A 20985-nucleotide genomic window follows, 5' to 3' on the forward strand; every position below is an offset into this window, starting at 1 on the left:
CAAGGCTAGAGACCACACCCCCCCGCTCCATCCAATCATGTTTTCCTGGGTGCTTGGTTTCTATGCAGGCTGCATGTCCTTAGTCCCTGCATGGGAACAGCTCCTGTGGTGAGCAGGCCCCTGAGGAAGGCCTTGAGCGGGAATGGAGCCTAGGCTTAGGCTGCCTGGTAAGAGCTGGAGGGAACCAGCCGAGGCTTGTGCTACTTTTTTTTCCAGAATGAAATACGTGACTGATGTTGGTGTCCTGCAGCGCCACGTTTCCCGCCACAACCACCGGAACGAGGATGAGGAGAACACACTCTCCGTGGACTGCACACGGATCTCCTTTGAGTATGAGTATCCTTGTGGCCCAGCCTGAGGGGCACAGGCAGCACCCCTGCTCAGCAGGCCTTGTTTGCTTTGTCACCCTCTGTGGGTTCTGGCCACATCCCCAGGAGGGAAAGCAGGTGGGGCAGGAAGTTTTGGGGGAAGGGGCTGTGGTGTGCTACCCCAGCTCATCTGTGTGGCTTTGGCTTCTAAATGCCAGAGCTGAGTTTGGAAGTATCACCCTTCTCCAGCACATCCCTGTAAAGTGCTTATTGTGGGCCTGGCTCTGGACATGGTAGCAGTGCGGGCAGTGGTTCACGCAGTCAGGAAAGAAGGCAGCTGCCATGTAATCACACAGCGTGACGTGTCTTTTGAGAAGCACATGGGACATTGGTGGAGTGCTCAGAAAAGACCATGGGGAGACCACATCTCACACAGTCTCAGCCACACTCAGTGTGGCAGCTGCTGTACTGAGCACAGGAGGGGCTGGGGGACTGGCTGGGGTCAGGTGTCAGGAGGCCAGAGCAAGCCTTGTGAGCCAAGGGCAGCGGGAGGCTGTGGAGTGACCAGAGTTTGAGTCAGGGTTTTTAAAAGGTCCCTTGGCTGCCCAGTAGAGGTAGGTTGGGGGCAAGGAGATGGTCACTGCTTTCCAAGGCCACACAATAGTGGCTTGGCCCAAACTGCAGCAGTGGCTGTAAGCAGTCAGATAGCATGATGTCAGGGACGGAGCTGCCCTGTCTCTGCACTGTGATGGCTGGGAAGGAGGAAGAGTGAGGGTGGACACGTCAGTAGTCAGGTGGCCATCGGAGCCTGGGGAGCGGGGTGGAGCTGGCTGAACTCCTGGGGAGGGGAGCCGCTGTGCACTGGAGCTGGTCCCATCATGTGCGTGGCAGGGTGGGCTCACTTACCCAGGGACCATGGGAGTGTGTGACTGAGACAGGAGGGAGGGAGTCAGGGAGCTGAGGATGCTGGGGCTTGAGGAAGCTGCTGGAGTGTGGGCAGGGAGCATGGTGGTCTGAAGGCCTGGGAGTTCCCAGGAGTTGGGAGGGGCAGTGGTGGGAACTGAGCATGCCGAGGAAGCAGGCAGGACCAGGCTCTCGTCCTGTAGAGGGGAAATCCACCGTGGGGGACAGTCCACACTCACAACTGCGCTCACGGTGCCAGGGGCAGTGATGGATATGTTTAAGAAAAGGGCTGAGGAGGTCGGGCGCTGTGGCTCACGCCTGTAATCCCAGCACTCTGGGAGGCCAAGGCAAGTGGATCATGAGGTCAGGAGATCGAGACCATCCTGGCTAACACGGTGAAACCTCGTTTCTACGAAAAATACAAAAAATCAGCCAGGCATGGTGGCGGGTGCCTATAGTCCCAGCTATTCGGGAGGCTGAGGCAGGAGAATGGCGTGAATCCAGAAGGTGGAGCTTGCAGCGAGCCGAGATCGTGCCACTGCACTCCAGCCTGGGCGACAGAGCGAGACTCCGTCTCAAAAAAAAAAAACGAAAAAAGGGCTGAGGATGGGGGCGCTTCGTGGATGGGGTCCCAGTGGAGGGCTCTCCGGAGGAATGGGTTGTAGGGAGGGCTGGGCTAGGTGGAGCAGGAGGTGCAGGACGACAAGCTGGTGACGCCCAGCCTCCTACGTCATGTGTGGCCATGACTGCTCCATGTGACCACAGCACCTGGACTTTGCAGACCCCTGTGCTCCAGATTCTCTGCCTGTCAGACGGATGGTGGTCTATGCCTGTCACTTCACAGGCTCTCTGTATGGGTCAGCTTAAGCTAAGAAGGTCAAAGGGCTCCAGGTCACTCTTGGGATACCTGGTTTTGCAGGCAGGCCTGGTGAGAAAGGGCCCCGCCATCAGAGTGGCCCACCTGCTGGAGTTACGAGAGTGCTCAGGGCGGCCAGTGGGTGCTTGCATGCTCCTTGACTGCAGGCCCAGCCTCCGCCTGGTGCTCTACCAGCACTGGTCCCTCCATGACAGCCTGTGCAACACCAGCTATACCGCAGCCAGGTTCAAGCTGTGGTCTGTGCATGGACAGAAGCGGCTCCAGGAGTTCCTTGCAGACATGGGGTGAGTGACTGCCTGGGCCTCTGCAGTGCCAGCCCTGGCCACCCCCAAGGGAAAAGCCCCTCTGCTTTGTTGTGACCAACTTAGTTATAAAATGCAGCCTGTTCTGCCATAAGCTCCTTGCCCTAGATCCCAGAATATCTTCTGAATGCTGGTGCGGGGACATCCTCGCTTGCCCTTGGTTTGGGTTTCTTTCCACCCTGTCGGTGTGTGGTGACCTCACTCATGTGGCTTGGGCTTGCTCTTTCCAGTCTTCCCCTGAAGCAGGTGAAGCAGAAGTTCCAGGCCATGGACATCTCCTTGAAGGAGAATTTGCGGGAAATGATTGAAGAGTCTGCAAATAAATTTGGGTAAACACACATTTTTCTGGATTTATCTTCATTACATCCAGGTTCATTAAAGTGAAGGGTTCTACTTTAACTGTGCTCCTAAAATAATGCAAAAAAAACCAACGTGCTCCTAAAATAATGCAAAAAAAACAACAACCCGAGAATGTACAAATGAGTGTTATCTGAGTCTGGCCATTCCTGAAGTCTTGAGTTCTTTTTGGGTTAAAAATAAGACTTCTTCAAGCTTGTGAGGTTTAGGATCCTAGGATCCTTGGATCCTAGGGCTGCTGTGGGACCTGTGAGGTCGACCCCAGTCTGTTTCACTGGAGACAGCAAATGGGCCACAGGGCCAGGTTCAGGTGAACTCTGCCCGACCAAGTCCATGGGCACTCCTGGAGGCCCCTGGCTTCTCCCACCCCAGCCAGCTGGCATGCTAAGGTGTGAGAGAGGACCCCACACACCCCCTAAGCCAGCCATAAAGCTGTTGACAAGAAGGCACCCGGCCACTCTGGGCTGCAGGGCTGGTATGTCTGGACGTTCTGACCTGCCTCATCCTCTGAGCAGCATGGCTGTGCTGGAAGCATTGACTTGGGCCTGTGAGGGACATTAGCACATCTGTTGGCCTGCCTGGCAGTGAGAGCTTGCCCACAATTTGAGGGTGACAGCTGTGTTTGCTCCCATGACAGGATGAAGGACATGCGCGTGCAGACTTTCAGCATTCATTTTGGGTTCAAGCACAAGTTTCTGGCCAGCGACGTGGTCTTTGCCACCATGTCTTTGATGGAGAGCCCCGAGAAGGATGGCTCAGGGACAGATCACTTCATCCAGGCTCTGGACAGCCTCTCCAGGTAGCAGGAGGGCTGTGGGTTTGCCTCATGGGGCCACCACTGGTTCTCACACTGCCCAGGGAGGTCAGTTACGGGGACCCCAGGGCTGTGGGAGTGACTGTGTCCTGCAGAAACTGCTTGGGTGAACTGGAATCACAGTGCCAGTGTGGTGTGCACCTGACACATTACCTGCCCCTCTTCAGTATTTGTCACTTTCTCTTGAATCTTTTTTGGCTTTTTTTTCTTTTTGATTTTTAAAATTTTCTCTTTTTTTACCTTTTGTATCTCTTAACAAAAGGCATTATTTGTTATGTATATTCGTTCTTGTGTTTAATCTTATAGTTGTCATTTCTCAATTTTTTAATTTTCCAATTCTTTCTTATCTCACTTCCTGAGATGTCCTATATTTTTCCATGTCTTTTCGCTTGTTTTGAAATGGAATGTGACAATTTGGATCTTTTTTTTAGCATGTCTGTCTAGTGTCAGACTAAAGACATCAGAGAAAAATATCTCCAAATACACTGAATTTATTTGGGAATTAGAAAAGAGGATTATAGTGTCTGCGATGCACAGCTATGGCAAGCCAAATATGCATCCAAAGAGAGGAGGCTAAGGGGACACTTTTATTGGCAAAAGGAGAAGTTCACGAAAGCTAGCTTGGAAACAATTCATTGGTTTCAGAGACTCAGAGCCAGAGTTGGCGTCAGTTCAGTGGTGAAGATGCATTACTGGGCAAGTGTTATATTTTAAGAGCATCTTATCTGAATTGTTGCAGTCCTAAAGAAGGGATTTCTTGTGGGGTTATTTAGAAAGTCTTTGAGTCTTTATTCCAGACATGCAAGCAGGAGCTCTCCTTGGTGCTTTCCCAGCTTTAATTTGTTTGGGCCTGTCAAAAAGTGATTTCATCCTGGGATCTGCAACTTTCACATTAGTGTACTTTCATTATCCAGAGAGGTGTTATTCTGTCCCTTATTCTCTTTTTTTCTAATAGTGACTTTGAGGGGATTTGACTTTGCTACTTCTCTCATGCTTTTTATGTATAAATTTCATTTCCCTGACTTTTTAGGAGGAGGAGGCATGATTCAGACAGCTTTTCTGGCTTCACAGAGCTGCCACTTCTGTTGCTTTTGTGCAGTGGTAAAGATGCATATGTATATATGGGGGCCTGCTTTCTGGGATTTCCTGGTTCTGCTCCCAAGCACACTTTTTTTTCCACTGCTTTATTGAGATACAATTTGCATGCCATACAATTCACCCATTTAAAATGTACAATGTGATGGCTTTTATTTATTTTATTGTTATTTTTTTAGAGACAGGGTCTCGCTCTGTTGCCCAGGGTGGAATGCAATGGCATGATCATAGCTCACAGCAGCCTTGACCTCCCAGTCTCAAGCAATCTTCCTACCTCAGCCTCTTGAGTAGCTGGGACAACAGGTGCATGCCACCACGCCTTGCTAATTTTAAAAATTTTTGTAAAGATGTATCACTATGTGGCCCAGACTGGTCTCAAATTCCTAGGCTCAAGCAATCCTTTCACCTCAGCCTCCCAAAGTGCTGGGAGGAACAGGCATGAGCCACTGTGCCCAGCCTGCAATGACTTTTAGTAGGTTGCAGTTAGGTTTTGCAAGGTTGTGCAGCAATCACCACTATCTAATTTTAGAGCATTTTTGTTGCCCCAGAGAGATCCTCCCAGCCTCTGGCAACCACCAGTCTCCCTTTTGTCTTTATGAATTGGCTGTTCTGAGCATTTCATACAAATGGGATCATATAAGATATGGTTCTTTGTGACCGGGTTCTTCACTTAGCATCATATTTGCAAGGCTCATCTATATTGTAGGATGTATCGGGATTATATGTCTTTTCCCTCGTCCGCCACCTGAGACAGAGTCTCACTCTCGCTCAGGCTGTAGTCCAGTGGCACGCTCTCGGCTCACTGCAACCTTCGCCTCCTGGGTTCAAGCAATTCTCCTGCCTCAGCCTACCGAGTAGCTGGGATTACAAACGCATGCCACCAAGCCTGGCTAATTTTTGTAGTTTTAATAGAGACGGGGTTTCACCGTGTTGTTCAGGCTGGTCTTGAACTCCTGACCTCTTGATCCACCTGCCTCGGCCTCCCAAAGTGCTGGGATTACAGGCATCAGCCACCATGCCCGGCCAGTGTCTTTTTATTATAAATAATATTCCATTGGATGGATATATTCTATTTCATTTATCCATTCATAAGTTGATGGGCATGTGGTTTGTTTCCACCTATTGACAATTATGACTAATGCTGCTGTGAACTTGCATGTACAAGTTTTTGTGTAGTCATGTCTTTGTTTCTTTTGGTTATATACCTACATGTGGAAATGCTGGGTGACATGGTAACACTAGGTTTCAAGGAACTGCCAGATTTTTGAGGAACTGCCAGACTTTTCCACAGCAGCTGCACCATTTTACATTCCCACCAGGAGGGAGGGTTTCAATTTCTTCACATCCTCACCGACACTTGTTATTGTCCATCTTTTGGATTACATTCATCCTAGTGAGTATGAAGTGGTATCTCGTTATGGTTTTGATTTGCATTTTACTGATGACTAATAGTGTTGAGCATCTTCTCATGTGCTTATTGGTCATTTGTGTATCTTGTTAGGAGAATTGTCTATTCAAGTCCTTTGTCTTTTTTTTTTTTTTTTTTTGAGACAGGGTGTCACTCTGTTGCTCAAGCTGGAGTGCAGTGGTGCAGTCATGGCTCACTGCAGCCTCAAACTCCTTGGCTCAAGCCATCCTCCCACCTCAGCCTCCTGAATAGGTGGGATTACAGGCATGAGCTACCACACCTGCTAATTTTTAAATTTTTAGTAGAGATGAGATCTTACCATGTTGCTCAGGCTGGTCTCAAACTCCTGGGCTCAAGCAGTCTTCCAGCCTTGGCCTCCCAAAGCACTGGGATTATAGGTATGAACCACCGTGCCCAGCCTAAAACTTTTATATATTCTACATACAAATCCCTTATCAGATAAGTAATTTGCAAGTATTTTCTCCCATTCTGTAGGCTGACTTTTCACTTTGGCAGTGTCCTGTGAAGTATAAGATTTGTTAATTTTGATGACATTTAAGTTACCTACTTTTTCTTTTGTTTCTTGTGCTTTTGGTGTCATATCTAAGAAACCATTGCCTAACCCAAGGTCATGAAGATTTCACATTATTTTTTCTACTAACACTTTAATAGTTTTAGCCCTTACATTAGGAGTATGATTCACTGGAGGTTTTTTTTTTTTTTTTTTTTGAGACAGGGTCTTACTCTGTCACTTAAGCTGGCATGCAGTGGCATGATTTCCACTCACTGCAACCTCTGCCTCCCAGGTAGCTGGGACTACAGGCATGTGCCACTGCACCTGGCTAATTTTTGTATTTTTTGTAGAGACATGTTGGTCAGGCTGGGCCCCTTACTCTTTACTATAGTCTCCTTACACTTCAGCAAGGCCCCTTGCTCTTTACCATGCCCCCTTATACTTTACCAGGCTCCCTTGCTGTTTAACAGGACCCCTTGCTCATTACCAGGACTCCTTGCACTCCAGGGAGGCTCCTTAAACTTTCCCTTGGCCCACTGCACTCACCTGCTCTTGCATAGGGCAAAACTCTCAGTTTGGGCCGCTGCTCTCCAGTTGCCTGGAGTTTTAAGTCTTCTTAGGTCTCACTACCTCTTGGCTTTCTCTCGCACTGATGTAGATAGTATACCTGTCTGGCTGTTCATGGTCTCTTTTTACCTGCTTACACTTTGGGGTTTGAAGTGTTCCCTTGTTCTCTTAATTTGTTGCAAATGTGGGTCCTAGGTTTTTGGTTTTGCAATCTAGTTGCTCTACTTTTATCTAGAAATTTGGGAAAATCCAAAAACTATTTTACCACTGTTGCTGCCATCATCCCAGCATTGATGGGTAGGCTTTAGACATTGTCTACCAACTTCCTGCTATGACAAAGGAGCATTTATCCCACTCTTGTCCACCTTCCCTCCTGTTGGTACAGTTTTGCCACTATTTTTAACTTCTTTGTAACTTTAACATATTTATGTCTTCTTTCATCACTAGTATCTCGTCTCCCTACTTTGTAAGAAAAGGATATTTAAAACACTCTTAGTCCATTTTGTGTTGCTATAAAGGAATACCTGAGGCTGAGTAATTTATAAAGAGAAAAGGTTTATTTGCCTCATAATTCTGATGGCTGGAATGCTCAAGATTGGGCATCTGCATCTGGTGAGGGCCTCAGGCTGCTTCCACTCATGGCAGAAGGGGAGCTGGTGGGTGCAGAGACCATGTGGCAATGGAGGAAGGAAGAGAGAGGAGGAAGGTACTAGGCTCTTTTTAACAACCGTCACGGGAACTAATAGAGTAAGAACTCACTTACACCCCCTAGCCCCAGGGAGAGCATTCATCTATTCATGAGGGGTCTGCACCCATGACCCAACACTTCCCACTAGACCCCACCTCGAAGATCTTGGATCAGATTTCAACATGAGGTTTTGAGGGGACAAATGTCCAAGGTGTAGAAACAGCCTTACTTTGCTCTTCAGTGCTGCTCAGTACTTTCTGAAATTTGTGCTTTTACGTTTTCAAGACTGATAACAATCTTGGGTTAGAGAAAAAGATATAAATTGTCTTATCTTTGGTTACAGGTTGATTTTAAAAGTTGAAAGTAAACAAATAGTTTTACTTTATTGTGCTAATAAACTATTCCAGAGACAATCATGTGTAGTAATAGATTACTATCTGGCACGGCTCTTTGTTTTTCCTGCTGTTTTTAATTGCCTCCTTTATCACATCCATTTTTTTCTCCTCCAAACTCCTTCCAGCTGTTTTTCTGTGAGCCCCTTTTTGCTGGAGAGTCTGGGGTTCTGTCTTCCCACCACAGCCTGGACCTACAGCTCTCTAGACCTGCTTTCCACTGTCCCCATGGATGTCCAAATCTTGGCTGTGCCTCTTAGTTTAGTCCAATGTTTCTTGGGATCTTCATCTTTGTTTCATTTACTCCCTCATTAAATTAGAGCACAGTTCTTAAGTAACATTCAAAGAAAGGGCGCATGTGAGATAAACTTTCTGAGTTCTTATATATCTGACAATATCTTTATTTTACTATTTCTTTACTATTCCCCCCACAGAAAACATCCGTGTTTTTTATTCTTGCTTTTCAGGCTTCCTGGAATGACGATGCTCTGTCTTATTTTTTTGCCTTACATTTTCCATAGCTTTGTCTTGTTATCTATGTTGAGGAAGTTTTTCTTGACTCCAGACTTGGAGTGGATGTTTTATCTTTTGCAACTGTTTTAATTTCCATCAACATTTCCTAGTTTTTAACTCTTCCTTTTTCATAGCATCCTGTTCTTGGTTTAGGAATGTAAGAGTTGCACACATCTCTCTGAAGATACTAATTAGAGTTCAGTTTAACTTTCTTTAGTTCTCCAAATTATCTGTTTCTTCAGGGTTATTTTTTTAGGCCATAGGCATTTCTCAAATGGTCTGATGTCTTTCATATTCAAGAACGGGATTGTGGACCCTTGGCTGGGCCATGGGTATCTGGGCACAGCTCACTGGTCATAAGACATCGTTTCACCTTAGCAGGCAGGAGCCAACTGTGACACTTTGGGACTCCCCACTGTAGGGCCCAGAGGCTTTGCTTGAGGATTCTACTTATTCACAGATGGTACATTTCATATACTCAGAGGGGAGCCTCCCTTTTTGTGGGGAAGAGTAAAAATCTATCTGTTGGGTTTGAGGGGATCCCTTGTCCAACCTCCAGCCCTTGCCCAAGCCTCCCCTGTGTCAGAGTCCTCCTGGGCCTTCAGGATCTTCCCTTTGTTGGCTTTTAGTTTCCTGTCTTCTGATACTTGCACCCGCTCCACCTCTCATTTGCATTACTGTGGGTTTATACATTTTAAAAAATTCTTTCCTTTCATGTGAAAGACAACTCAGGAGGGAAAGAAGATAAATTCTTACCCCCAAACCTCTTCCTGAACCAGGAACCAAGCAAACTATTTGTGACTTTGGTATTTTACCAAGAGTTCCTGACAAGCACCACCAAAGCCATGTGTCTGCCCTGTTACAGGAGTAACCTGGACAAGCTGTACCATGGCCTGGAACTCGCCAAGAAGCAGCTGCGAGCCACCCAGCAGACCATTGCCAGCTGCCTTTGCACCAACCTCGTCATCTCCCAGGGGCCTTTCCTGTACTGCTCTCTCATGGAGGTCAGGCTTCCCACAGAGCACAGGCGCCTGGTCACAGCACCAGTGGCTTCGTCTGACCATCTGTCTCGCCTCCGCAGGGCACTCCAGATGTCATGCTGTTCTCTAGGCCGGCATCCCTAAGCCTGCTCAGCAAACACCTGCTCAAGTCCTTTGTGTGTTCGGTGAGGGGCCAGGCGGGTGCTGTGGGTACAGGAGGGCAGGTGCTTGGAGAGCTCCCTGGATGGGGAGTTAGATGCTGGCCTTGGGGTGCCTGTGGCTGTTGACCAGCTGCAAGGTCTAGGCACATCCATTACTTTTTCTGAGCTGTCTTTTTCTCAGCTGACCCCTAGGAACCTTCCAGTTCTCTCAAGCTCTGATTCATCACTGGCTGTCTAAGTCACTCAGACAAGTAGGGAGGGGCCCTTGCAGAGTGAACAGGGCTGGGGCTTGTGTCCTATTGTTGCAGGTCAGGGAAAGCGGGATGGTTGTAGCACCGACTGGCTTCCCAGCAACAGCTTGTCCACTAAGCTGATTTCCTGTGCCTGGCTTTGTCTTCTGTGTGGCCTAACCCCCTCTTTGCGTTGGCGTGGAACACACTCCTAACTTGGCTGGCTTTAGGGCAGGGGTCCTCACCTAGCCGACATGGGGCTCCTCCCAGATGTGACATGTCAATAATTGAAGTCCTCCTCTGCTTCGAGGATGAGAGTTTATGCCGGGGGCTATTTCAAACAAAATGTGCTAACAGGAAGTTGAACTTTTCTTTTGCCGCTGAACTAACCAGTAAAATGATGACAGATGACATGTGTTCTATCAACCAGGTAATGTCAAAGATAAACTAGGGACAGAGCATGGGCCTTGACGTCCTCTAGGCTGTGTTCAAAGATGAGCCTCCTCATTTGCCAGTTGTGTGACGTGAGGTAGATGATCTGACCTGATCCTCAGTTTCCTCATCCGTGAAATGGGTGAACACATACCCACTTTACAGGATCCATTCATTTACCAGACATGTATTGAACATCCACCACCTGCCCGGCCCTGTTGTGGAGTGACTGCCCATCCTGGTGCACATCCTGGGACACCCCTCAGTCCTAGACACACCAGGAATACTGGTCACCTGGGCTGTAGGGTGTGGGTGCAGCAGGCACAGCAGAGAAGGAAACCCTAAACCTTTATCCTGAAGGAGCGTGCCGGCGGGGGGGACGAGGAGTGGCAGCTGCGGTTAAGATGAGGGGATGTGCTGCCAGGGGATGGAGCAGGATGAGGCGGGGTGGGCTGGGGCCTCCTGGAGAAGGTGGCAGCTGCTGCAGGACCTGAAGGAGGTGAGGGAGAGGATAGCAGGGCAGGCTCCTTGCAACAAACAGCCAAGGGGCAGTGGGGCTAGGCTGGTAGACAAGGAGGCTCGGGGACACAGCATCACAGCCACAGTACCATGCTGTGGGTACGGGAGGGCAGGTGTTTGGAGAGCTCCCTGGACTGGGAGTTAGACACTGGCCTTGGGCATCTAACTTGGGGTGGCTGGGTGGGGACCAAGGCGTCTCCTGGTGACAGCGTCCCTGGAGGCTTTGGGGAGTGGAGTGACTGGGCGCTGTTGGGCTCTGGGCTCTGAGTGTTGAGCTGGGGCCCACCATACCCTGACGGAGGGTGCTCTCCGACTCCATAGACAAAGAACCGGCGCTGCAAACTGCTGCCCCTGGTGATGGCTGCCCCCCTGAGCATGGAGCATGGCACAGTGACCGTGGTGGGCATCCCCCCAGAGACCGACAGCTCGGACAGGAAGAAGTGAGCAGCTTCCACTCGTCCTGGGACTGGAGGGTCGGGGGTGTTGGGGTTATCAGCTTATTAGCCCTGCTGAGTAGAGTGGTATTTGCCTCTAGTGTCTGTCCTGGGGCGGGGGGTGGGAAGGGTCCATTGCAGGCCGCCTGGCCCCCGACATGTCTTGTGTGTCAGCAGCTTTTTTGGGAGGGCGTTTGAGAAGGCAGCGGAAAGCACCAGCTCCCGGATGCTGCACAACCATTTTGACCTCTCAGGTGAGAGTCTCCTGCCACTCTGCCACACTTTCCCACCTGACCCTTTGAGGCTATTGCAGGCCCTGGAACCAAGCAAGTTGGCATGGCTGGAGGAGCCTGGCCAGCAGCCCTCTTGACCTTCCAGATCTGGCCCTGGGACAGGCTACTCCTGGTGGCTCAGGGAGCTCTGGTGAACCTCAGGCCCCTGAGAGGGAAAAAGTGTTTTCCAGGGAATGACTGGCCTGGCTGTGGCCTTACAGCGGCCTTACAGCCAGTGCTAAGGATCACTTTCCCAGCAAGCCTAGGGGACTGGCCACCAGGGCCCGTGTGCCCCGATCTCACCTGTCAGGGTTGGGTTGTTTCTGTTTCATGGGGTGAGGGAACAGCAGGGCCCGTGATGACCCAGGACACCAACCCTTGCTGCGCCAGCCACCTCTCCACAGGCCGGGGTGTGTGTCGTGATAGGTGCTACCTGTGAGATGGCTGGGACACCGGCCCCACCTGTGTGTCAGATGAGCCCAGAATGGATAGGCCTGCCTGCCCACTGCTTCCCCAGCACCAGCACGGAACATGGTTCACATTCGGCTGTGTTGGCGTTCTTATTATTGTTGACAGGTTTTAAAGTAAAACAGACGTATTGATATTTCACCCCGGGTTAGTTTGCTAAAGCTGCCATAACAAAGTGCCACAGACAGGGTGGCTTCAACCACGTGTCTCCTCCCAGTCCTAGAGGCGAGAAGGCCCAGGTCAAGGTGGGGCAGGGCTGGCTTCTCCTCAGGCCTCTCTCCTTGGCTCACACAGATGACCACCTTCTCACTGTGTCCTCACGTGGTCTTTCCTCTGCATACCTCCTTGGTGTCTGTGTCCAAACCGTTTCATCTTCCAAGGACACCAGACAGATTGGATTAGAGCCCACCCTAACAACCACATTTGAACTTAATTACCATAGTCACATTCTAAGGTCCTGGGGGTAAGGGCTTCAACATAGAGATGTGGGGGAGACCGTTCAGCTCATAACACCCTCAGTACTTCCTGCACCTCTGAGAAAGGATATTTTCTTGCCTCATCACCACGGATTCCTCAACAATGATAGACACTGTCATGGGAGATCCAGCCTTTGTTGAAGTGGCGTCAGCCATCTCAGAGCTGCCTTCCTTGAGCCAGACCCAGCCATGGCTGTGGCACTGTGTGGCATTGGTTCACCCCGCACAGCAGCCCCTGCTAACTCTTTTGTGCCTGTGATGTGGGAGAGGTGGATGGACACCCACTGGCCTGCAGAATATCTGGCCTTCAGTATACAGGGAGGACTCGGGCTGGGAACTGCTTGGTTTCCCTGAGGGTGGAGAGCCAGGGGTGAGGGTGCAGAGTGGGCCATGTCTAGTGCCCACCTGCGTGGGCTGGGTCTGGGGCTCTCGGGGCTGTGGCTGGCAGCATAGATGGCTCCCAGGGCCAGGCCAGCCCCATCCTGGGGCCTGGTTTTGCTTTGTGGTGAGGGTCTGGGTGCTCAGCTGAGCCTGAGGGCCCTGTGAGATATGGGCAGTTTGCACCATGTCCCCTTGTGCGGAAGAGAACACTGAAGCCGAGGAATTGGCCAGAGTGCGGCCAAAAGTGACCTGCCCCACCCAAGGACTTCCACAACCCACTCTGGGGACGGGGGTTCATGCCAGCTGGGGTGGGCAGGCCCGTGTTTGTCCAGGTCTGTAGGGCCCTTCCCTGTGTCACCTCTATTGTCTTCCCGGGGGGGAGTTCTCCCTGCAGGCCCCAACCCTGACCTCTCTAGCAGTGCAGACAGCAGTTGTGAAGATGAAGTACAGTGAGACAGACACAACCACTGAGTGCAGAATACCACAGGCCGGGAGGAGCCGCGCACTTTGGAATGCAGTGGAGGGCAGGCAGCGGAGGGGAGTTCTGTGCCCTGTCTTGTGTTCCCACTCCTCCCTTCTCACGGCTGTTTTTCTTTCATTACTTCAGTAATTGAGCTGAAAGCTGAGGATCGGAGCAAGTTTCTGGACGCACTTATTTCCCTCCTGTCCTAGGGTGAGTTACAGGGGTTCTGCAGGGGTGGCTGCAGCAGCCCCCTCAGAGCCCGACCCTGATGCCCTGCTCTGTCCTCCCTCAACGGAGGCTTCTACTTGGGTTTCAGACCGAAGCAGGGTTCTTGAGATTGGAGCCAACACATTTTTCCCAAGCACATCTGTCCTTAGGCTGCCAGCAGGGCCACAATGGGGCATTTTGAGGCAGCTAATTTCATTAAGCCCCTGCGATCCCTTCAGAAAGAGCTGGTATTCACCCTCTGCTGACCACACTTGGGCTGGGCATCGCGTGTGACACATGTCACACACAGACTCCCTGGTGCTGCCCTCGAAGGCCACCTGGAGCCTCCTGTCCCACAGCCTTCGTGTCAGGCGCTGGGCAAGAGCCCGCAGAGCAGCCATCCGGGCTTTTGTGTGCTTGGCTCATGAGAAAGCAAAGCTGTTGGCAGCCGCTTAGCTGGGAATTCCAAAGCGCTGGTTCTGCTGGGGCCTTCACCAGCACACAGCTGTCCTGAGGGCCCCATTGGGATTCACTGGCAGGTCACTGTCCCGGGACACCTCCCACTGCCCCATGTGCTACCTCTTTCTTAAGGGTTCCCAGGAAATAGGCCTGCCTTGTGTCTTTGTAACCATCTCTCAGCCCAGGTTCCCCACAGGGAATGCCACATCCAGCCCTGCATCTCCCAGAGCCCTAGCCTGGAGGCTGCGGCTGTGGCAGATGGGCCCTGCCAAGACTCTGTTGCAGGAGGTCCCTCAGGCCAGGCCTGGGGTCCTCCCCACTCTCCCATCCGTCCGTCCATCCATCCATCTGTCCATCCCTCCAGGGGCAAGCACCTGTTCTCCTGTTGGGGCTGGAGTGGGGGTTTCTGCTGACAACAGCATAGGGGGCCTCAGGGACCCCACAGTTCCTCTCAGGGTGGCCTGGGCTACATGGGGCCCATTTTGGGCGCGGGGCTCTGAGTCAGACCCTCGGGGTTTTTGGCAAGTTCTGTAGGGTCATCAGCAGTGACCTTGGGCCAGCCACCTAATCAGGCTTAGCCTGTTTCCTCATCCAAAAATGGGGCCCACTCTCTCCTTAGACGATGAGTGTGAGCATCACAGGACTGCATAGGGTGGGGCGGAGGCAGAGGTGGGGCTCTCTGGCAGTGGAGTGGGTGCTAGAGGCAAACCCCTCCCCTGCAGCCTGCTTGGTGGTGATGTTATGCTGCTGTGTGTCCTTCCACTGAGGCAGGGGCACAGGTGGCCTGGGCTAGGAGGGCTGAGCAGCAGAGTGCCGAGGGATGGAGGGAGAGCCCCCATGGGAGGGTGCCAGGGGGCTGGCTGAGCAGCTGGGCGGGGTCCGTGAGGTAAGAAGGTGCCCGGGCCAGGGGGCAGGAGCTCTGATGTAGGACAGCTCAGCCCAGTCAAGGGGTGCTATGAGGACAGCAGGGGCCTCCGAGTCTGGGGTGGCCTCACCCCCACAAGCAGTCCTGGCTACTCAGCAGCACTACCCAGAGGGGACGCCTGGGCAGTTTCTTCAATTCGGTGGCACATCAACATCGTTTGAAACTTGTTTTTTCTTGTTTTGTTTTCTAGAATTTGATTCTTCCAGAATGACCTTCTTATTTATGTAACTGGCTTTCATTTAGATTGTAAGTTATGGACATGATTTGAGATGTAGAAGCCATTTTTTATTAAATAAAATGCTTATTTTAGGCTCCGTCCCCATTGTGGCTCTGGTCTCGAGGCCAGTGCTTGAGTGTGCTCTGAGCCTTCTGTGGGTCTTGGGCCCCAGGAGCCCTCAGTGCCTGGCAGGAAATCAGCATGGGGATTGGCCCCAAGGACAAGATCTCCTTACTCTGTCCTCCAGGCCCTCCGGGTGGCAGTGGACAGAGGTCAGGACCCCTCGGCATCCCCGCCTCCTCATAGCACCTGCACCGGCCACTGCCTGGTGGTGCCAGCCAGCACCTGGCTCTGTCCACCTACCACTTCCTCTGGTCCACCTGGCCTCAGCCACATAGCAAGTCCACCCTCTCAGCCATCCCTCCACCTGTGGGTCTCACCATCCAGCACTCTTTTCCAGGTCTTTGAAGGCAGGAGTGATTTGGGTAGGTTTTAAGTCAGTGGGGAAAAGCTCAGAAAGAGTGGCCTGGAAAAGAGCACACAGGTAGGTGGGGCTGGTCTTGGTGCAGCCCTTGGCAAAGGGCAGTGGGCACAAAAGGGTGAGAGCTGGACTGGAGGCTGGGCCCCTCCCCTCACCTCTGGTGGTTTGCACAGCTTCCCGGGACCCTTGAGCTGCCTACCCTGGCCATTTGGGAAAATTCAAAGGCTGTGCAGCTTCCTTTCCATGCCCTTTCTTTCCTTTTTTTGAGACAGAGTCTCGCTCTGTCACCAGACTAGAGTGCAGTTGGTGCGATCTCGGCACACTGCAACCTCTGCCTCCCGAGTTCAAGTGGTTCTCCTGTCTCAGCCTCCCGAGTAGCTGGGATTACAGGCACACACCACCACGCCCAGCTAATTTTTGTATTTTTAGTACAGACGGGTGTCACCACGTTGGCCAGAATGGTCTTGATGTCCTGACCCTGTGATCCGCCCACGTCGGCCTTCCAAAGTGCTGGGATTACAGGCGTGAGCCACCGTGCCCAGCCCCGTGCCTGTCCTTTCTTAGGAAAAGGCTTTCTTAGGAATGCCCTCCCAGGCAGCCTTGGGCCTCAGCTTCTGACCAAACACACCAGACCTGGTACTACCCAGTCCCGGTGGCCAGGTGCAAGAGTGTAAGGACCATTGTTTTTGGCTCTGCCCAGGGCCACAGCTCTGGGATCACACACTCCCAAGCTTGGGGACTATTCTTGGTCCCTGTTGTACAGGCCCAGGTGGGGTACAGGTCAGGCCTGCTGAGGACCTCTGCACCGTGGGGCCCCTCTCCCTGTAACTCATCCCACCGGCTGGTTCCACAGCAGCTCCCAGGAAGCTGCCACACATTCCAGCAGCTGCCCTAAGCCACTCTGAGCCTGCATTCTTGGGGTTCTCCCACTGCTCCATGATGGTAGCCTGGCCAGACCTAGGAGACTCCCTGCCACTGGATGTGGCCCAGACATTTCTGGGCAGGGCCCCCAAGTCCAGTTTGGGGCAGATACCAAGTCTCCCTTCCGGCTGGGCTTAGAGCTCTTCCCTGCAGCATGCCCCCTTCATCAGCTGCTCTCTTCTGCTTCTAGCTTTATGTCAAATGTCAAAAATGTGTTAATTCAAAGTGCCTAGAACAAGGCTAAAAACAGTGAGCTCTCAGTGGCTATGTTAGATGGCTCTAGACACCCCCATTCCGAGGTGCCTGGCAGGGGCCAGCACTGACTCCCAGGCCACACAGCCCCTGGAGGAGGAAGGTTACCCAGAGTGCCCCCAGCAGGGGCTGGCACAGGTGCTGGTTGTGAGCACCATTCTGGGCAGGCTGCCAGGCCAGCAGGGTGGGTACAGGCTCTGTAGGGAGCTGCGCTGGGACTGGCAGAGGAGCCAGGACGAGGGGCTAGAGCCAAGCTGTGGTACTCCAGGCAACCAGCTGCCAGCACCTCCTCCCATGGCAACCCTACTGTTGACCGGCGTGTCCTGCATTCACCCCTGTTCCTGCCCCACCCACCATTGGAAAGGGCCTGGTCGGGGATTCTACAGACCTCTGTGGCCACTTGATGGGGCTTGGGACTAGGCAAGCCCTGAGAGGGCAGTGGAAAACCTCACCCTGTGCTGTGTGGGGCTTGGCCCTTTCTGGGAGAAGCCAGCGGCCTGGCTGCTCACCCCCAGCACTTCCCACACCGCAGGACCCCCACTCACCAGCCTGTGTTGAGGGCGCTTCACCCCGCATCTTCTGCTGGGGTCTGCCGCTGCCCCCGCCCCTGTCCCATCCCGGGCCCCAGGGCCCCATGACGCAGCAGCTCTTCTGACCGCAGATCCCGCCTTTCTGGGCTGTAGTAAGTGGTGGCTGTGTCTCCCACCTGGTGGGAAGGTGGCAGGGAGGATGGGGAAAAGAGCCCCAGCCTCCAGCCCTGGGAGGAGGTCTCCACAGGAGTCCTTGGGAGGGCGGGGCTGGTGGGTGATGAATGGGGCTGCTGGACACGGAAGATGGCTGGACAGAGAACAGGACACAGGTGGGAGAGAGTTCAAACCATTTACTAAGCAGATTCTTAGCCTTCCCACTCCCGCCCTCTCTCAAGCTCCGGTGCCCACAAGCCTTGCCTGGGGAGATGCTGGAGTGAGACCGGGAGGTCCAGGCCAAGTCACTGGTCCCTGGGCTCGGGCCCTGCCGATGGAGTAAAGACCAGCTGTACACATCTTCCGGTGGGGGCCCTGGGCTCTGCATCCGCCCCTCCGAAGTCAGCAGGAGCCTCTGGGAAGTAAGGCAGCAGCCAAGACCCCCAGCGTCTTGGAGGGGAAGCGAAATCCTCAGTCTGACACCCGCTCTGCCTATGGAAACAGCGCCGCGCACAGAAAAGGAAACTTCATTCCGTCTGTTAAGGGCAGGGCCGGGCTAGTGGCAGGAGAAGGTCAGCTGCGGGCGCAGGCAGGAGCGGATCCAGGAGCCGCGTCGGGGCGCAGAGCCGGACGTTCCGAGGAGCCTGCGCGCCGCGCTACCCGGCGGAAGCCGCGGTCCATGCGGGGCTCCCCAGGCTTATCCAACGCCTCGCAGGCGTGGCTGGCAGGAGGGGCCCGGCCGTGCCCAGCGCCCTCAGACGTAGTTCTTCTTGTCGTAGTCGCCGGTGGCCGTGGGCCGCCGCGGCGCTGAGTACTTCACGGGGAAGCTGAGGTCGGGACGGCCGGTGCAGACCCAGGCGCCGCAGCACAAGAGGCAGCCGCCTACCATGAGCAGCGCGGTGGCCGCCCAGCCGATGTACAGCGCTGCGCCCAGCTCGTACTTCTGCGACACGGGCACAGACGGGTCGTAAAACTCGCGGACGACAATGTTGGCGAACCAGCAGAGTGGCACGAGCGCCAGCAGCCCGCAAAACAGGTAGAGCACGCCTCCCGTGAGGGCCACACGCGCCTTGGCCGGGCCCGGGGCCACGCAGGTGGTGCACTGCGCGCCCGCCAGGGTCACGAAGAGCGCAACGAACGCCAGCAGCACGGCGCTCACGGTGAGCGCCCGCGCCGCCTGCACCTCGGTGCTCAGAGCCAGCACCGAGTCGTACACTTTGCACTGCATGTGCCCGGTGCTCTGCACCACGCACGACATCCACAGCCCCTTCCAGGTGGTCTGCGCCGTCACGATGTTGTGGTCCAGGAAGGCGGTCACCTGCCACATGGGCAGCCCGCACGCCAGGATCAGACCCCCCCAGCCCACCAGGCACAGCACCAGGCCCAGGATCTCCAACGCTGCGGACCCCATGGCTAGAGGCGAGACGCGCACCCGAAGGCCCGCAGAACCCCCAAGGCCGTGCTGCGCGGCGCCCTGGGCGGGCCCTGGTGCCTTTGCGCCCGCGCTCCCGGCTCTTGGCCCCAGTCCGTTTGCCCCGCGGGTCTGTCGCACCTCCTGGGTCTGCCAGCTCCTGCCGGGGGGTACCCTCTTTGAAGGTTCGGGGGCGGATTCTGTCCCCCGGGCCCGGCCCCCCGGCCCGAAGCAGCCAATCCGTGCGCGGGTCATCGTGCCGCAGCCAATCACAGAGCCTCTGGCAGCTGAAGTTAGGGAAACAACGGCTCTTGAGGGGTAGCTGAGGGCGCGGGACCGCTCCCCGCCCGGCAGCCGCCCCCAGCCCCACCCGCCGTTGTCCTAGTCGCGGCCGAGCGCATTCTGGGCTGGCCTAGGGCGCGCTTCTTGGGCCGCCTCCCTGCGCGTCCCGGCCCCGTCACTTCAGAAGGCGCTCGACCCCCAGTCTGCACCACCCAGTCCACTCCCACATCCCCGACTGAGCCGGGTGGTCTCTTCCACTCGAGCCAGCTCCACTTCCCTGACCAAGGTTTGCAGAAGCCCCCCACCCCGTCACCGCCGTAGAGGCCCTCGTAGGGGGGCTCTCCAGAAAGCCCGCCCCGGGGTCCAAGCCCCACCCAGGCCCTTTCTCGCACTCTCACTCTCCAGCCCCGCTCTGAGTCCCAGCACTGTCTCTCTCATCCCATGGCAAACAGAGAGGCCAGGCAGGCGTGTGGAGGTCAGGCCCAGGGCCCCAGCCTCACCCCCCATGCCACTCACTGCCTCTCTGGAGCCTGAGTCTCTGGCAAAAAGCGGTGGCACAGGGGCTTTCCCCCTGCCTGGCGACCCCCACTCTCCCAAGCCGCAGGGGCTTCCCAGACCTCTCAATCTTCACAGGGGCTGCTCCTCTTCCTGCGGTACTGCCCGCACCCCATCCTTGGGGGCCCAGTTCAGGTGACACCACTTCAGGAAGTTCCCAGTGACCCAGCACACTGGGTGTAGCACCCAGGGGCAGTGGTGGCCCCAGGCCTAGCAGCCTGCTCTGGCCTTCAGACAGGAGAGACAAAGGGACACGGAGGGGCTGTGCCCTGCCCTCCCACCAGTGGCGATGGTGTCCCTGGCACCCCAGCCCCCAGGCCACCCTCCGGAAGCCAACTTGGAGTTTCCTGGCCAGGAGGAAGAGCCCCCATCCTTGCTGGAGGAGGGAGGCGCGGGATTTCCGGGCATTCTTCTGCACAATGGCCCAGCCATTTCTCGAAAGGTCCACTGGTGTGGACACTCCGGGCCCCCTGAGGCTCAGGTGGGGGCACGCGGCTCCAAAACCCACAGCCCCATGGGGGCACCAGCCCCTTTCTAGTAGTTCTTTCCCCAGTCTCTCTCGGCCCCTTTGTTTCCAGTAAAGTTTGAACTCCAGGCCCTGGACTGAGGCCACTGGGTGCCCAGTTCTTTTATCTGGTCTGTGCTCAGTTCCATTGGACAGGGCCCTCCATAGAAAAAGTATGGCACTGAGGCTGGTCACAGATGTGGGAGGTTTGATGACTTTCTCCCTCCTGGGGCCCGGTTCCCTTCTCCCCCTTCAGATGGCTCTGAGATGGTAAATGAGATAAGGCCAGCGTCTGGCTCACCTAGTGTGGGGAGGTTCTGAAGGCAAGTGTGCCCAGCCCTGAGGCTGGAAGGAAATCATACCCTCTTTGCTCAGCCCCACGTGGCCTCTCCCCACCAGGTATGGCTCTGAGGACCACTGCCTTCTCCCAGCTATCACTTTAGTCACTGCCTTCCTCCTGCTGCAGACCCATGGGCCATGCCCCTTCCTCTACAGACCCTCCTGGACATCTCCTCCTCTGTGTACTCCAGGGG

The 20985-nt window shown here is 54.2% G+C and overlaps 2 protein-coding genes across 17 annotated transcripts in view, besides 5 other annotated features; one reads left to right on the top strand and one right to left on the bottom strand.

The window, feature by feature from the left end:
• The window catches only part of CDC45 (cell division cycle 45), a 41147-nt gene extending 25680 nt beyond the window's left edge, over nt 1-15467 (top strand). For 5 of the 13 annotated variants that reach the window (XM_047441534.1, XM_047441532.1, XM_011530418.4 and 2 more), the window contains 10 exons: nt 217-336; nt 2241-2372; nt 2621-2719; nt 3385-3546; nt 9604-9742; nt 9820-9903; nt 11382-11500; nt 11672-11748; nt 13699-13764; nt 15336-15467. In XM_047441534.1, coding sequence (XP_047297490.1) covers nt 217-336; nt 2241-2372; nt 2621-2719; nt 3385-3546; nt 9604-9742; nt 9820-9903; nt 11382-11500; nt 11672-11748; nt 13699-13763 — 997 coding nt within the window. In that variant the 3' untranslated portion in view covers nt 13764; nt 15336-15467. Of the gene's footprint in view, nt 1-216; nt 337-2240; nt 2373-2620; nt 2720-3384; nt 3547-9603; nt 9743-9819; nt 9904-11381; nt 11501-11668; nt 11749-13698; nt 13765-15335 lie in introns of those variants that run through there. The other 8 variants (XM_047441531.1, XM_011530417.4, XM_011530416.2 and 5 more) reach the window with 4 other exon arrangements.
• Nucleotides 726-1226: an enhancer, noted in NCBI's record as "H3K4me1 hESC enhancer chr22:19493394-19493894 (GRCh37/hg19 assembly coordinates)". NCBI's record gives its function as "activates a minimal SCP1, AML or CMV promoter by ChIP-STARR-seq in primed H9 embryonic stem cells {active_cell/tissue: H9 hESC(primed)}" and the evidence as "EXISTENCE:reporter gene assay evidence [ECO:0000049][PMID:30033119]".
• Nucleotides 1227-1727: an enhancer, noted in NCBI's record as "H3K4me1 hESC enhancer chr22:19493895-19494395 (GRCh37/hg19 assembly coordinates)". NCBI's record gives its function as "activates a minimal SCP1, AML or CMV promoter by ChIP-STARR-seq in primed H9 embryonic stem cells {active_cell/tissue: H9 hESC(primed)}" and the evidence as "EXISTENCE:reporter gene assay evidence [ECO:0000049][PMID:30033119]".
• Nucleotides 9338-9838: an enhancer, noted in NCBI's record as "H3K4me1 hESC enhancer chr22:19502006-19502506 (GRCh37/hg19 assembly coordinates)". NCBI's record gives its function as "activates a minimal SCP1, AML or CMV promoter by ChIP-STARR-seq in primed H9 embryonic stem cells {active_cell/tissue: H9 hESC(primed)}" and the evidence as "EXISTENCE:reporter gene assay evidence [ECO:0000049][PMID:30033119]".
• Nucleotides 9839-10339: an enhancer, noted in NCBI's record as "H3K4me1 hESC enhancer chr22:19502507-19503007 (GRCh37/hg19 assembly coordinates)". NCBI's record gives its function as "activates a minimal SCP1, AML or CMV promoter by ChIP-STARR-seq in primed H9 embryonic stem cells {active_cell/tissue: H9 hESC(primed)}" and the evidence as "EXISTENCE:reporter gene assay evidence [ECO:0000049][PMID:30033119]".
• Nucleotides 16948-17880: an enhancer, noted in NCBI's record as "H3K4me1 hESC enhancer chr22:19509616-19510548 (GRCh37/hg19 assembly coordinates)". NCBI's record gives its function as "activates a minimal SCP1, AML or CMV promoter by ChIP-STARR-seq in naive H9 embryonic stem cells {active_cell/tissue: H9 hESC(naive)}" and the evidence as "EXISTENCE:reporter gene assay evidence [ECO:0000049][PMID:30033119]".
• On the bottom strand, nt 17879-20192 carry CLDN5 (claudin 5). Of its 4 annotated transcripts, none has more exons than NM_003277.4 (2): nt 20010-20192; nt 17882-19397 (listed from the first exon to the last, which is right to left on the bottom strand). In NM_003277.4, exon 2 carries the CDS (start codon nt 19363-19365, stop codon nt 18454-18456), a length of 912 nt encoding a protein of 303 aa, NP_003268.2. In that variant the 5' UTR covers nt 19366-19397; nt 20010-20192; the 3' UTR covers nt 17882-18453. The 4 variants fall into 4 exon arrangements, with proteins under 4 accessions (NP_001124333.1, NP_003268.2, NP_001349996.1 ...); NM_001363067.2 differs by having other exon boundaries at nt 19909-20192; NM_001130861.1 differs by having other exon boundaries at nt 17879-20192.
• Nucleotides 20193-20985: the final 793 nt, after the last annotated feature.

The sequence above is a fragment of the Homo sapiens genome, chromosome 22 (assembly GCF_000001405.40).
Source record: "Homo sapiens chromosome 22, GRCh38.p14 Primary Assembly".
Classification (NCBI taxonomy): domain Eukaryota; kingdom Metazoa; phylum Chordata; class Mammalia; order Primates; family Hominidae; genus Homo; species Homo sapiens.

Bases quoted from the DNA above. Each gene is read 5' to 3' on its own strand.
- CLDN5 (NM_001130861.1), bottom strand. From the start codon at position 19,365: ATGACCCGCGCACGGATTGGCTGCTTCGGGCCGGGGGGCCGGGCCCGG.